The 16256-nt window shown below is 37.6% G+C and overlaps 1 protein-coding gene across 41 annotated transcripts in view; it reads left to right on the top strand.

Moving 5' to 3' along the window:
* DYM (dymeclin) overlaps positions 1-16256 on the top strand; it is a 424259-nt gene that overhangs the window by 70377 nt on the left and 337626 nt on the right. For 36 of the 41 annotated variants that reach the window (NM_001374439.1, XM_047437559.1, XM_047437553.1 and 33 more), the window contains 2 exons: positions 10511-10604; positions 11569-11702. The exons of the other annotated variants lie outside the window; for them this stretch is intronic. In NM_001374439.1, the coding sequence (NP_001361368.1) occupies positions 10511-10604; positions 11569-11702 (228 nt within the window). The remainder of the gene's footprint in view (positions 1-10510; positions 10605-11568; positions 11703-16256) is intronic. 41 annotated transcript variants of the gene reach the window in all.

Raw genomic sequence — 16256 nt, 5'->3', positions numbered from 1 at the left:
ATTTTTGTATAGATGGGGGTCTCCTGTGTTGCCGAGGCTAGTCTCAGGCTCCTGGCCGCAAGCCTTCCTCCTCCTACCTTGGACCCCCAAAGTGTTGGGATATTACAGGTGTTAGCCACCGTGCCTGGGCCCAAATATTTTTGTTTTTAAAAACAAACTATGTTGATAATGAAAAGGTGTTATTGTAGTAGTTGTCTTGCCTTACAACCATAGCTTAGGGAATTTTTTGCTAAATAGAGCTGGCTTTCAAAAGCCATGTCGCAATTCAGTGCTGAAAATTAAGGAGTTTTATGTAACAATATTAGTGTAGTTACTGTGATAATGGCTTTTAAGGTGACTTTGGGTTTTTAAAAAAATTATAAAATTAAAAGATGAAAAAACAAAAATATAACAAAGCAATGAGAAAACAAAGAAAAAATTACATTAAGAAAACTGAAAGTAGCTGGGAGTGGTGGCTCATGCCTGTAATACTGGTAACTTTAGGAGGCTGAGGCAGGAGGGTTGCTTGAGGTCAGAGTTCAAGACCAGCTTGGGCAACATAATAAGACCCCATCTCTTACAAAATCTACATCTTACCCATCTACACGCAAAAAAATTGAAAAAACTTAACCAGGCATGGTGGCATGTGCCTGTAGTCTCAGCTGCTTGCGAGATTGAGGTAGGAGGATTGATCGAGCCCAGGAATTTGAGGCTGCAGGGAACCATGATGGCGCCACTGGACTCCAGTCTGGACAATACAGCAAGACTCCAAATCTAGGGGCGAAAAAAAGCAAGTAATATTTACTCATTATACATAATGTGGAAAGCATACTAAAATGTAAATGAGGTAGTAATTGCTCATAATTTGAAAACCCTGACATAGGCATTGTTGATATTTTTGTATTTTTTCTTCTACTACTTATTCAATAGATATAAATTTATATATATATCATCCACCACACACACACACACACAGACACACACACACATTTTAATCTGTGTTTTTCACTTGACATTGTATCAGGAATGTGTTACATGTTTAAAAATACTTTTGGGAACAGCAAAACAAGATATACATTTATTGCCCCAAATTCCAGTAATGTGATGGTATGGCTAAAATAAAAATCATCTCATATTAAACAGTACATGTGTAATCACTGCTAATCTTTTGTGACAATTTCATATAAATGGTATTATTTATATTTTGTTTACACGCAGCAACATGTCAGGAACCTCTTCACATCAATAAGTATAAGTGCATATCAACTTTAAGGGCTATGTGAGTGTACTTAGTTTCCTTTTTGAAAAAAAAATTTTTTTAAGTGCTGGTCTACTGGCAACAATTTTCCTTCTCTTTTTTCTTTTTTTTTTTTTTTGTCTGAAAATGTGCTATTTTTTTTCTTGGCTTTTGAAGCATATGTTTTGCTGGATATAGAATTTTAGATAGACGTTAATTTATTTTCCGTACTTTAAAGGTGTCATTTCGTTATTTTCTAGCTTTTCTTGTTTTTGTTGTGAAGAAAGCAGTCAACCTTATTGTTGCTTCTTTGAAAATAATGGAATTTTTAACTTCGGCTGCTTTTAAGTTTTTCTTTTTATCTTTTGATTTTCAGTAGCCTTAGAGTGATGTGCTGAGGAGAGGTTTTCTTTGTTTTTTTGTCGCCTGAGGTTTGTAGAGATTCTTAAATCTGTGAGTTGGTGTCTTTTATCAGTATTGGAAAATTCTTAGCCATTATGTGTTTATATATAAAATTTTTGTTCTATTCTGTCTCTCCTCTCCTCCTGGGACGCTTGTTACACTTCTGTTCAATGTTTTGTTTCCATTGTGTCCCATATACTTGTTAGGCCTTTTTTCTTTTGTAGTTTACATTCTTTTTCTCTCTGACCTTCAATGAGATATTTTCTGTTAATTCATCTTTAGTTTCTAATGTTTTCCTTTTTTTTATTTTTATTTTTATTTTGAGACAGGGTCTCACTCTGTTTCCCAGCTAGAGTGCAGTGGCACTATCACCGCTCACTGCAACCTCAGCTTCCTGGGCTCAAGAGGTCCTACCACTTCAGCCTCCTGAGTAGCTGGGATTACAGGCATATGTCACCATGCCTGGATAATTTTTAAGTTTTCTGTAGAGGTGGGATCTTGCCATGTTATGTTGAACTTCTGGGCTCAAGTGATCCTCCCACCTTGGCCCCCACAAAGTGCTGGGATTACAAGTGTGAGCTACTGTGCCTGGTACTAATCTTTCCTTTTGATATGTCCCATTTGCTGTTAAAACTATCTACTGAGATTTTTAAAACAAGCTTTTAATTTTAGAATAGCTGTAGATTTATGGAACTGTTTCAAAGCTAGTATAGAGCATTCTTGTATACTCTTCAGCTATTTCCCCTATTTTATTATCTTATTTTAGTATGGTACATTTATTTCAACTAAGGAATCAACATTGGTACAGGTATACCCCAGAGATATTGTGGGTCAGTTCCAGACCACTGAGATAAAGCCAGTATTGCAATAAAGTGAGTTGCATGAATTTTTTGGTTTCCCCATGCTTATAAATGTTATGTTTACATTATACTATGGTCTATCAAATGTGCAATAACGTGTTAAATGTATGTATCTTAATTTTATAACTGTGTTGCAAAAAAATGCTAACACATCATCTGAGACTTTAATGAGTCATAATCTTCTTGCTGGTGACAACATGACATCAAAGATCACGGATTCGACCAGGCACAGTGGCTCACTCTTGTAATCCCAGCACTTTGGGAGGCTGAGGTGGGTGTATCACCTGAGGAGTTCAAGACCAGCCTGGCCAACACAGTGAAACCCTATCTCTACAAAAATACAAAAATTAACTGGGCATGATGGCAGTTGCCTGTAATCTCAGCTACTCGGGAGGCTGAGGTGGGAGAATCACTTGAACCCGGAAGGCAGAGGTTGCGGTGAGCCGAGATCACAACTTTGCACTCCAGCCTGGGCGACAGAGTGAGACTCCGTCACAAAAAACAAACAAACGAGATCACTGATTAGAGATCACTATAACAGATATAACAGTAAAATGCTTGAAATATTGCAAGAATTGGCTGGGCATGGTGGCCTGTAATCCCAGCACTTTGGGAGGCCAAGGCGGGAGGATTCTTGAGTCCAGGAGCAACATAGCAAGACCCTGTCTCTACAAAAAACTAAAAGAAAATTAGCCAGACATGGTGACTCCTGAGTAGCTACTCAGGAGGCTGAGATGGGAAGATCTCTTGAGCCTGGGAGGTTGAGGCTGCAGTGAGCTGTGATCACACTACGACATTCAGCCTAGGTGACAGAGTGAGACTCTGTTTCAAAAAAAAAAAAAAAAGTAAATAAATACGAAGAAATTTTGCAAGAACTACCAAAACGTGATGCAGAGACATGAAGTGAGCACGTATTGTTGGAAAAATGGTGCTGATAGACTTGCTCACTGCAAGGTTGCCACAAACCTTCAATTTGTAAAAAATGCCATGTCTTTGAAGCACAATAAAGCAAAGCACAGTAAAATGAGTTTATGTTAATTTTATTGACTAAACTACACCCTTCACTCAGACTTTCACTAACTTTCTCCTAATCTGCCTTCACTGTTCCAGGATCCCACCTAGGGTGCCACATGACATCTAGTCATCATGTATTTCTCTGGTCTGCAACAGTTTCTCAGATTTCCCACATTTTTTATGCCTTTTGATGATTTTGGGGAGTATTAGTAGGGTATTTTCCAAAACGTTCCTCAATTTGAGTTGTCTGATGGCTTTCTCATGCTTAGACTGGGGTTATAGGTTTGTGGAAGGAAGACCATGGAGGTGAAGTGCTGTTCTCAACACACCGTATCAAGGGGACATGCTATTAATATGACTTATCACTGATGGTGTTGATGTTGATCACTTGGCTGAGGTACTATTTATCAAGTTTCTTCAGTGTAAAGTTGTTTCTTTCTCTCCTGATCCCTTCATTTTCAAAGGATAGTTTTTCTAGATATAGAATTCTTGGTTAACATTTTTTTTCTCTTTCAGCACTTTGAACATATTATTCTACTGCCTTCTGGTCTCTATTTTTTTCAGATAAATCTGACGTTAATTGTATTATTGTTCCCCTGAAAATCATGAGAAATTTTTTCCTGCTGCTTGTAAGGTGCTCTCTTTGCCTTTTAAAAGAGTTTTTTGGCCAGGCATGGTGACTCACACCTGTAATTCCAGCTCTTTGGGAGGCCACGGCAGGAAGATTGCTTGAGGCCGAGAGTTAGATGCCAGCCTGGGCAACATAGCAAGACCCTGTCTCTACAAAATAAGAAGAAAAATAAAAATTAACCTGGCATGGTGGCATGCATCTCTTAGATGTGTAGATTAATGTTTTTCAACAATTTTGGGAAATTCATTGCCTTTTTTTTTCTTTTTTTAAGGAATAGGGTCTCACACTCTTATCCAGTCTTGTCTTGAACTCCTGACCCCAAGCATGCCTCCCACCTCAGCCTCCCAAAGCACTGGCCATTATTTTTGTTAGGCTTTTTGTGTTTAGCTTTATTACTTTTTTCCTGAATGTACACATAAGGTTTTCTGGATCAGATTTCTTTTTTTTTTTGAGACAGAGTTTTGCTCTTGTTGCCCAGGCTGGAGTGCAATGGTGTGATCTCCACTCACTGCAACCTCCACCTCCTGGGTTCAAGCAATTCTCCTGTCTCAGCCTCCCAAGTAGCTGGGATTACAGGCATGCACCACCACACCCAGCTAATTTTGTATTTTTAGTAGAGTTGGAGTTTCACCATGTCAGTGAGACTGGTCTCAGAACTCCTGACCTCAGGTGATCCACCCGCCTTGGCCTTCGAAGTGCTGGGATTACAGGCTTGAGCCACTGTGCCCAGCCCAGATTTCTTATTAAATACTTCACAGTAAATAAGACGTCCATTGGTCCTTCTTTGTCCTAGTTCTTAACCCACTAGGATGATGTGGTGAGAGCCAGGTCAGTTGTTTTTTATGATAGTCAGACTCCCTGTAGGTGAGGGATGAGGAAAAACGTTTGCCAGCTTTATAAAGGGTAAAAAAGCAGCTGTACCATCCTCTCCTGAAAGAGTGTGCTCTTTAGCCCTTTGGCATATAAATACAATCTTTTCAGGAGCCGGGTATCCTCACTTCTTGTTTTGGCATTTTAACCTATGGATATCTCCAAGTTCTGTGGCCTCATTTGTCCTTTTTTTTTTTCTTTTTTCTTTTTGTTCATGAGACTTTTTCCTTTAACCCTTGGTGATAAATATTTCTCATTATGCTTTTTCTCTTTATGGTTTTTCCTATAATTTGATGAGGTGTTTTGATTGGTGTACGAAGATCTTTTTCAGTTCAGAAGGTTTTTTTTTTTCTTTTTTTCATTATGGCTCTGATTTTGTGTTTTAGTTTCTTCTCCCTACCTCTTGATCACCTGTAATGTTCAGGTTGGATCTCTGTTCTTTACTTTCTGTTATCTTTTTGTCTCTGTTCTTTTCTCATATTTCTTCCTTTGTATGATTGATTTCAATGTTTTCTACACTGCCAGTTCTCCTCTTTTACTATTGTAGTGTATGTTTTAGCTGTTATTGCATTTTTAGTTTATTTCTTAATCATTTCTAGTCGTTTGTAGATCTTTTAATGTCAGGCTGCTCTCTTCTTTTTTTTTTTTTTTGAGATGGAGTGTTGCTGTGTCTCCCAGGCTGGAGTGCAGTGGCGCAATCTTGCTCACTGCAACCTTCACTTCCTGGGTTCAAGCCATTGTCCCACCTCAGCCTCCCAAATAGTTGGGATTACAAGCATGCGCCACCATGCCTGGCTGATTTTTGTATTTTTAGTAGAGATGGGGTTTCACCATATTGGCCAGGCTGGTCTTGAACTTCTGACCTCAAGTGATCTTCCTGCCTTGGCCTCCCAAAGTGCTGGGATTACAGGTGTGACTCACTGCACCCAGCCTTTTTTTTTTTTTTTTTTTTTGGAGACATGGTCTCACTCTGTCGCTCATGCTGGAGTGCAGTGGTGTGATCATGGCTCACTGCAGCTTCAACCTCCTGGGCTCAAGCAATCCTCCTGCCTGGCCTCCTGGGTAGCTGGGACCATAGGCATGCGCAACCACACCTGGCTAATTTTTGTATTTTGTGTAGAGATGGGGTTTTGTGATGTTGCCTAGGCTATCTTGAACTTCTGGCCACAAGCAATTCTCTCACCTTGGCCTCTGAAAGTGCTGGGATTACAGGCGTGTGCTACTGTGCCTGGCTTGCTCTCTTTTCATTCATGCATTTCCCCCAGTGGATTTCTGTTCTTTTTTAAAAAATAGGTGATTAATTTTCCTGTTGTCTACTGTTGATTGCTGTGTATTAAAATTCTTTTGGCAATTTTGATTTAGCTTTTCTTCTGAGGTTTCAGCGTAACTCATTTCTTATCCTCTGGTTGCTGTTGTTGTTATTTTCTCCTTTTCATTAAACTAACACATATTTATGGAGCACCTACTATATTACAGGCATTATCCTATAAGCTTGGGCTGTGACTGCAAAAAACACTGACCCGGGTCTCTGACCTCATGGAGCTGTCTATTTCATTGAGGAACCAGAGAATAAATAAATATATCTGGTTTATACAATGTTGGCTGTTCAGAAAAATAAAGCAGAGTAAGGGGATGGGGTGTAACCCATGAAGCTGCATTGTTTGCTCCCAGAGAGGCTGTGTTTATTTCCTCTGTTGCTTATATAGATCCTATAGATGCTTGTTGAATCTGCTGTTATTTTAGTTTGAGAGCAAGTTGATATAGTTTCCCAACCTAATTTATAGAGCCCAAGAAGGTTTTATTTGTCCAAGTTTCTTAGTTTAAATGGGACCTTCATTATCCTCACTTCTTGGCTTTGGGGTATGAGGGAATTTGGAAGTTCCCAGATTGAACATCTGTATCAGTGTCTTTCTACCTCTCCCTCCACCGTATGCTGCTGTGTTGTCCAGGCCGAATATGTATCTCTAAATAAGGATTCTTAAAAAAAAATACCACTATCTTATTAAAAAAACAACTTTTAATATCACAAAATATTCAGTGTTCAAATTTGTAATTGTCTCATTTTGTTTGAATTGGGGGCCAAATAAGTTCACACATTATTTTTGGTTATGTCTTTACATTTCTTTTCAAAGCAAGTTTCCCTTTTCATCTGTCTTTTTCTTCTTTTCCCTCTCTCAGTGTATTTATTGAAGAAAATGGGTGGTGGAGTTTCCCACAACGTAGATTTTGTTCATTGTATCCTTGCGTGGGGTCATCTTGTCCTCTCTCCTCTGTATTTTCTCTACATTGGTTGTTGGATTTTAGAGCTCATGAGTCTTTCGGTGAGATCTTAGAAAAGTTTGTTTCAGGGTCTAGAAGCAAATTTAATCTCTCATCTCAAACAGAAATCCTGTCTACAATACCCTTATCTGAATGTTACCCAAACTTTGCTTGAATTCTTGTAGGGATGGGGGCATTCCCTTCTTTACACAAGCATCACTAGTTAACAGACTGCTACAAGTTCAAGCTCTAGCATCAGGTAAGTTAGCTCTTTATTAAGCATTCTTGTTATCTTAATTTTACAGATGAGGAAACTGAGGCAGGGGCCAGTTAGGTAAGTTGCCAAGTGTTCTACAGCTGGTCAGTGGTGGAACTGAGATTTGAACTTCGTCAGAGTCTATAATCTAGTCCCATTACACTTTTCTGCTTTCCTGTCGGACCTCCTGTGTTGTTACTCTGGCTCCCGAAGCTCATTCAGCTTCAACATAGCATTTTATTTGCACCAATTAACTGTGATCATGTAAAATTTCTTTTCTTCTACCATTGAGATATTTTGGAATCTTGAATCTACCATGGAGTATTGTTTAAAATCATTGAGTGTATTTAATTTTATTAACTTATTGCCCTAATCTTCATCTTATCCAAAAGAGTATCATGGAAACTTTTTAACTGTCTTGGTAGGTAAGCTCCATGAAGACAGGGAGTTCTCTTTACAAGTATCTCCTTAGTATCTGAAACAGTGTGGGCACATATGAGTAGCTCAATAAATACACGCTGATTGAGTGAATCAGTGAAGAAGGTACACGGCGCTTTAATTACATCAATCAAGTAGTCGGGTTACTCTTTCCAAAAACACAAGATGTTTTGTTTTGTTTTTTTAAATAGCTAATCATTTATACATTCAACAATTACAAGGCCATTCAGTAATAAAGGGGGCTGTTGAATGAACAAAGATTTCAAAGTTGGGATTCTGAGTGGTGATTGTAGTCATGTTACCCTCAGCTTAGTTTGTTTCAGCATTTTGTTTGGATTTACAATAGCTAGATAATATTAAGTCCCACAGAGATGCGTTTGCAAACCTTAACTATTCTTTTTTTTTTTTTCTTAAAAAGTTTACCCTGAGGTCTCTGGGTATTCTTTCATTAACCCTAAAGCTTTAAAGAGGAATAGGACATTTTTGTTTCAAAGTGAAACTCTTAACATTATCTACTATCTGATCACATATCTATTCTTGATTGTGAAGGCTGGATAAAAACTCCGCTGATTGACAACAAATGTTGCACCTTGCTACTCACAGTGGGATTCTCCAGCCAGCAGCAGCAGTAGTGGATGTCACTGGGGAACGGTAGAGATGCAGAATCTCAGTGCACATTTCACACATGTGCAGTCCATTTGCATTTAAATAAGAATGACTTGTGATTTAAATGCACATTAAACTTTGAGAAGTACTGTCAGCTTCAGTTAGGAGTATGGTGGACCTGGGATTCTGAACTTCCACCAAGCTCTCAGATAATGCTGTTGTGGCCGGTCCATGAGCCACGCTTGGAATAGCAAAGTGCTTGACATTTTATCACAGTTAGAAAGTTAGGCAGTTACTTGAATAGACTCTTAAGTCATGACAAAAATATATATGCAGCAGGGAGTGAGCTTGGCAGTTAGTAAGCACAATGCAGGTATGCTGTAATGCTGTACTTATTCCCATGTATAATATTTTAAAATATATATGTATGGGCCTGAATTTTAAAAAAATATTCTGGAAAACTTCATTTTTTTCAAATCTTGACACATTTCAGTAAGTTCAAATATACCAGCTTGGGCAACATAGGGCAAAACCATCTCTACAAAAAATACAATTAGCTGGGCATGGTGGTGCATGCCTGTAGCACTAACTACTTGGGAGGCTGAGGCAGAAGGATCACTTGAACCCAGGAGCTCAAGGTTGCAGAGAGCTATGATTGCACCACTGCTGTCCAGCCTGGGTGGTAGACCGAGACCCTGTTTCTATGTTAAAAAAAAAAGAAGTTCAAATATATGCGAAATTCCCAGATCTGCATAAGAATGAACTTTCCTGGCAGCCTAAGTCAGTGTGTTTGAGTGTTTGCATTTCCAGTTTTCAAACTAGTTAAAAATACTTCAGAAGAGAAACAATTATCCAGGACTCTGGAATCTCACATTTTGAAAACCATTGGTCAAGGAAAAAGACTGTGTTTGCTACTAACATATTGTTGACTTTAAGCTCAGCGCTTAGCCTTTCTGAGCCTGTCTCTTCATCAGTCAAATGGAAGGTTCTACAAAATAGTCTCTCCCTTCTGATGAATTCTTAGCTTCTGTGACTTGCTGTGCAGCCCAATAGAGCTTTATAGTTTCCTTAAGTCCAATTTCTTGATTATAGAGGTTGCTTCAACCTAGCAGTTTAAAGTCAAAGATTTGAGCCAGTTGATAAGGATGTTTCCTTGAGCAAGTAACAACCTCCAGGTGAGGATCGGTGAAATGCAAGTGATACTAGTGCTTTTCCTGGAGGGTTGGTGTGAGGATTAAATGAGTTAATGCATGTAAAGCACCTACTCTATGTTGTTCAGCATATGTTAGCTGTTGTTTCTTTTACAGATGAGAAAACTGAGGTTGGAGAAGTACAGTGATTTGTCTGAGATTCAGTATTCAGTTAATTATAGACCTGGATCTAGAAACTAAATCTTCTGATTCCTGATACAGTTGCTGAAATGCCCATCGTTTAAAGTTAAAAAAAAATTCTTTAAAGTTTTGTCTGGTCAAATAGCTCCCCTTCTAGCCACACTGCTTTGTTGATATGTTTTCTTAATTTTTCATTCAAATGATTTGTAATCTGAAGAGTGTTTTAGATTTAATAAACTTTTATAGTTTATTATATTCTATATACTGGAGACATAGATAATCAATTTTTGAGTTTTTAAAAATCTCCTTTCTAGAGAAAGATTTAGTGTGTAAGTTGAATGTGTCTATTAACTATTTTTTCCTTTATGATTTTGGATTCTGAGATAAGATGGCTACTTGTACTGTTTCTATCATTTTCATTTTGCAAATCAGTTTTTGATGTTCAGAATTAAGACCAAGAGCAGCAGTTTCTCTCATTGCTTAGTTCTCTAATTAGGTATGAAATTAACAGTAAAGTTGGTCACTGAGCAATTTTAATATGACATTTGGTTTTATAAATGTTATGATAAGCTCACTTTGATTTTAGTTCTTAAATTTAACTTTTTAAAACCTTTTCTTCTCTTGCAGTTGAAAACAATCCTCGAACAGGAAATCTTGGTGCACTAATTAAGGTCTTCCTTTCTAGAACCAAAGAACTAAAACTTTCAGCAGAATGTCAGAAGTAAGCTGGCTAATTAAACCATGTTTGCTTTATATTTAACAATGTGAATTTTAGTTTTCATTTATTGATGGAAATGGACTGTGGTCTTTTGAAAATCTCTGTGAAGGAATTATTCTCATTATTAAGAAAAAAAGGTAGAGAGGTTTTAGGTTAGTGTCTAAGTCACTGGGGTGAGATTATAGATTCGGGAATCTGATTTCAGCTTTTTAGACAATCTTTAGATTATATTCTTTAAGAAGGTGAATAATGATGTAATTATCGTTAAGAAGGTAATTCCCCTCCCCCCCATTATCACTGCTGCTGCTATCTAGTTTAAATGATGACTTAGTCTGAGTTTTATTTCATTCTACATCTGTTGCAGTTATTTCCGTTATATTCTTTACATCAATGGAAGGTTAACTTTTTATGCACTGAAGCATTTTTCAAAACCATGTTTGGATGTCAGTCTCTGAAAAGATTAAAATATTTTGCATTGTCTTGCTTATAAACAAATTACATTGAATCCAATAAAGTTTTTCTTGGGAGTTCATGGTCATTAATACAAATAAAAAGTATTTTACCGTGCTGCTGGCAATGCCTCGTCGAAAATTTTGGTTACATATTTGCATATATTCTTTTTATGTTACCACAATTTTTTAAATTTTTTGGTAGCTTTCTTCTCTTTTAATCGCATGTACGTGGTATACCTATTAAGAACAAAGAACAGTCATTCCTACAGTCATCAGTAAAGATTTTTATTAAGTAGATTCACTATGTAAAGTACATGGAATGAACTATGAAGTAAAACATAATATCACTGGTACAATGAAATAAATCATGAGCCATTAAAAGATATGGACATTATCCTAATATTACCAATAGGATGGACAAAACGGTTGTCAAATCAGGAAGAAATCATGAACTAGAAATAAACTATGGTGCTTATGTTTAAATATTGATTCTTGTATGATTTTGGTCTTTCTAGCCACATCTTCATTTGGCAGACACACAATGCTTTGTTTATTATTTGCTGTTTGCTGAAAGTGTTCATCTGTCAGATGTCAGAGGAGGAATTACAACTTCATTTTACTTATGAAGAAAAATCTCCTGGCAATTACAGTAAGTATTGTTTTTAAAGATGTTCTGGATATATCATGTGTAACATTTAAGGATAAAATTTCAGGAATAAAAGTATGATTTTGAAAATTCCAGTTATCCTTATAATTTTCATTTTAAAATGAACTTATACTGTCATTTTTTCTTTTTCTGTGTTAATTTAAATGAGTCAAGACTCAAGCGTTTTTTGTTTTTGTTTTTCGTTTTAAATAAGAAAGCTGGTGGGGTTGAAGCTTTCATTTATTTTGACTTTCATGCATGTGGATGAAGAAGAAAGTAATATAAAAAATAAAACTCACACAAATATGTATTTCTTTCAGAAAACAGAGGTGTCAGTTTTAAATATCATTGCCAAGTCAATATATTATTAAGGGAGCCAACTAGTCAGATTTTATGGTAAAGGTTACTTTCATAGCGTGCAGCAATAGCTTCTGGGTCTGAGTGTCTTTGGGACTACGACACTTTATCAGAAGTAACATTTTCAAGGACAGTTTTATGATGCCAAAGTGTCTCATCTTTTTCTGAAGATACAGGGAAAGATTACCCTTCACACAATCTTTCCTTTCTGAGGGCAAGGCAGTGTTGCCCCATAGTTTTCCGAGTTCTGTTTTCAAAATAGATCTCTGCCCTCATCAGGCTGACAGCGTCACCTGTGTGATTCAAGGTCATATGTTAACATCTCTTGTGGGAACAGGTATTGGGAGAGAACTTTGAGATGTGTATACTTTTAATGGAGGTCTGTGTGCTATGTGGATTTCATGCATATGTATAATAACACTTTCATATACCTAGGAGTAATTTTTCACTGTGGTTTCAACTGTGTTGCTAAATACGTGTTTTTAAATGTCAAAGTCAAATATTGACAAAGGGAAACAAACGTATAAAAGAGTTACTGTTCATCCAGGTCAACATCACAATGTACTGATTTTTCAGTATATCCATGTCTATGGGGAATATTTCTTAAATTCTATTATAGAATTTTTATTTATATTTTTATTTTTATTTTTTTTGAGATGGAGTCTCGCTCTGTTGCCCAGGCTGGAATGCAGTGGTGCGATCTTGGCTCACTGCAGCCTCTGCCTCCTGAGTTCAAGCAATTCTCCTGTCTCAGCCTCCTGAGTAGCTGGGACTACAGGTGCATTCCACCAAGCCCAGCTAATTTTTGTATTTTTAGTAGAGATGGGGTTTCAGCATGTTGGCCAGGCTGATCTTGAACTCCTGACCTCAAGTGATCCACCCACCTTGGCCTTCCAAAGTGCTGGGATTACAGGCATGAGCCACCGTGCCCGGCCTAGAATTTTTAAAAACAATATTATGGGGAAGTAGAAAAGATTCTGTGGAAAGTTAACCTTTTGTGCATTCAAGCATTTCTTAAAACTATTTTTAGATGGCAAAAATCTTATGGAAATTCTGGTTATATCATTTAAATGTATTAAGGTATTATGTTACATTTTGAGCAAATGAAATGACATGGTACAAGAAAACAATAGTTTACAATACTTTCAACTCAAGTAGCAGAGTGACCATGTGTATTTATCTCTTCTCCCTCTGAGACCCCATTACCTGATGGTAGAGCAATTTTCTACACATACTGTTGAGCAACTTAGGACAGTCATTTCATCCTTCTTTAGGCTCCTTATGGCCTCTTTCAAGATCAGGAAACGGTTTTGGAGAAATAGAATATGAATTTCTGTTTTACTGCAATCTTTTTCTTCATTCTTATCCTCAGTGTATTTCCAAATTAGAAAAGGACATTCTTCTTGACTCACACTTTGAAAATACGATTTTACCATCTTCTAACATTTTAACAGCTTTTCTGTGACTGGCCACCTTGATAGCCATTTGGCAGGTTCATGTCCAAGGAGTCTATCGCCTTTCATTTCTGTAAGGTCCGAATCTCACTAAGTTCTGCAGGTTTTGAGAAAACTGAAAGGTGGCAAACATCACAGGGCAGGAAACTACTGCCTCATAGCAATGCTGTGTGCAAGGCATGCAGAACATTTAGCAGGCAAGAGCTCTTCATTTTCTTTGGTCAGAAGTTTGTAGACTAAATGGAATTTGCTGCAGTTTACATATGCCCTGTCCCCAAATAGGCAGATAGATGAGCAGACTCTAGTTTGTGCTTGAGCAAGATATCAGCAATCTTTTGTTTTCTGTTTATGTGGAAACATTTTTGTTTTCCTCTACTGATACTGGACAAATATGGTTGAGTGTATTTAAATTCAAGTTTCATCCTTGAGAGCATACTGAATTAAAAATATCACAATTAAGTTTGTTTCGTAAGTGTTCTAAAGTTTCTTTCCAACAGATGACATAGTTGGCTGGTTGCAGGGAAGGGAAATCATATGTTCTACTTTTCTTTGAAAGTTATTGTATTAGGGTTCTCTGGAGGGACAGGACAAATAGCATAGATGTATATATGAAGGGGAGTTTATTAAGGAGTAGTGACTCACATGATCACAACGTGAAGTGCCACAATAGGCCCTGTGCAAGCTGAGGAGCAAGGAAGCCAGTTTGAGTCCCAAAACCTCAAAAGTAGGGCTGACAGTGCAGCCTTCAGTCTGTGTCTGAAGGCCCAAGAGTCCCTGGCAAACCACTGGTGTAAGTCCAAGGGTCCAAAAACAGAAGAATCTGGAGTCCAGTGTTTGAGGGCAAGAAGCATCCAGCATGGGAGAAAGATGAAGGCCAGGAGACTCAGCAAGTCTGTTCCTTCCATGTTCTTCTGCCTGCTTTATTCTATTTGTCCTGGCAGCTGATTAGATGGTGCCCACCCAGATTGAGGGTGGGTATGCCTCTCCCAGTCCACTGACTCAAACGTTGATCTCCTTTGGCAACACCCTCACAGACACATCCAGGAACAGTACTTTGCATCTTTCAATCCGATCAAGTTGACACTCGATATTAACCATCACAGTATCTCAGGTATTATTCTACATTTCATAGTTAAAATGTGGATAACTTTATTATTCTTGAATAAAGCAAGCATATCAATTTTAGCAGTTTTATTTGCTGTCATCTTTTATTTTCCCTTCTGTCCCAGAAGACCATTTCATGGAAGGTCACTTATTGTTTTGTCCAGTTTTGAGTTAGTATGAATTACTACCTCATTAACTTTGGGGGATAGGGGGAAGGGGATAGGTACTGAAATTCTCTTTGATGCTGTTAAAAAAATGTTAAATTTCAGATACTGTACCAAGTTATAATTTATTAAGAATAGTTTCCTATAAAGGGTGAATAAAATGACAATGAATATGTGTGTGTGTATATATACATATATATATGTGTATATATGTTTATATATATATATTTTTTTCTTCTAAAGCCCAAGGTAGGTATAGATGTGTGTGTGTGTGTGTGTGTGTGTGTGTGTGTGTGTCTTTTCCCCTTTCCCGCTTTGTAACTGTGAGAGCCCCAGGTGTTTAGGGGCTGCCCCACGAGTATTTCCCTTGGATAAAAATGTTTACCTTGTCTTCTCAGGGGAAACAACTCTCCAGTTTCACTGTAGATCAGCCATTCCTTTCTTGGATTCTGTGCTTTCTACTCTGAAGTAATTCCTGTTGAACTTTTGAGATTCTGCTCTAAAAAAGATAGGCAGCCAATTTTTTTTTTTTTGAGACAGTTTCACTTTTGTTGCCCTGGTTGGAGTGCAATGGAACGATCTCGGCTCACTGCAACCTCCGCCTCCTGGGTTCAGGTGATTCTCCTACCTCAGCCTCCCAAGTATCTGGGATTAGAGGCATGTGCCACCATGCCCGGTTACTTTTGTATTTTTAGTAGAGACAGGGGTTTCACCATGTTGGTCAGGCTGGTCTTGAACTCCTGACCTCATGTGATCTGCCCACCTCGGCCTCCCAAAGTGCTGGGATTACAGGTGTGAGCCACTGGGCCTGGCCTAGGCAGCCAAATTTTATTGAAGCTACCTTTCATTAAGCTACCTTGGAAAAGGGAGCTGAGGCACAGGAAGCAAACTGAACCATCCTAATATTTTTAGAGATTGAGCATTTGTCATTTCACCAAAATTTATTTCAATAATAAAAGTCCCTTTGACTCCACATTTGATTAGTGGTACTGGAAAAACAGGTACTGCTTCCTCTTCCCCCTAAACTTTCACAGGCAAAATACATTTTCTGTCTCTTTCTCAGTCACTAAGTAGGAAAGGAACATAAGACCTTCTAAGTTGTTTCTGAATATAGCTAGATTTTTTGCTGGTCTTGATCTTCTTTTGGGATTGACCATTATGTTCTCTGACTACCATATAACTGTATGTTATAGTATAGACTTAATCAAGGATTTTGAGGAAGTTAACTAAGTTGGTGTGTGAGAGATACTGCAGAATTTTGGTATTTTGAATGTTATATACTTTATTTTTTTCTAGGAGAGAATATTTGTGAGAATTATGTAGAATCTAATTAATTTAACTATTCCCAAACCACCCCATCATCTTTCACAGTTATTGTTTATCATTTAGCATGATTTTCAGAGCTTGTGCTTTATACATTGAGTTTGAGTTTCAAGAGATGGATATGTTTAATTTACTATTTTGATCATTAGCCTTCT

Source organism: Homo sapiens, chromosome 18, assembly GCF_000001405.40.
Source record: "Homo sapiens chromosome 18, GRCh38.p14 Primary Assembly".
In the NCBI taxonomy this organism is placed as follows: domain Eukaryota; kingdom Metazoa; phylum Chordata; class Mammalia; order Primates; family Hominidae; genus Homo; species Homo sapiens.
The sequence above is the reverse complement of the archived record's forward strand: the minus strand, read 5'-3'. Positions and strand labels throughout refer to the sequence as shown.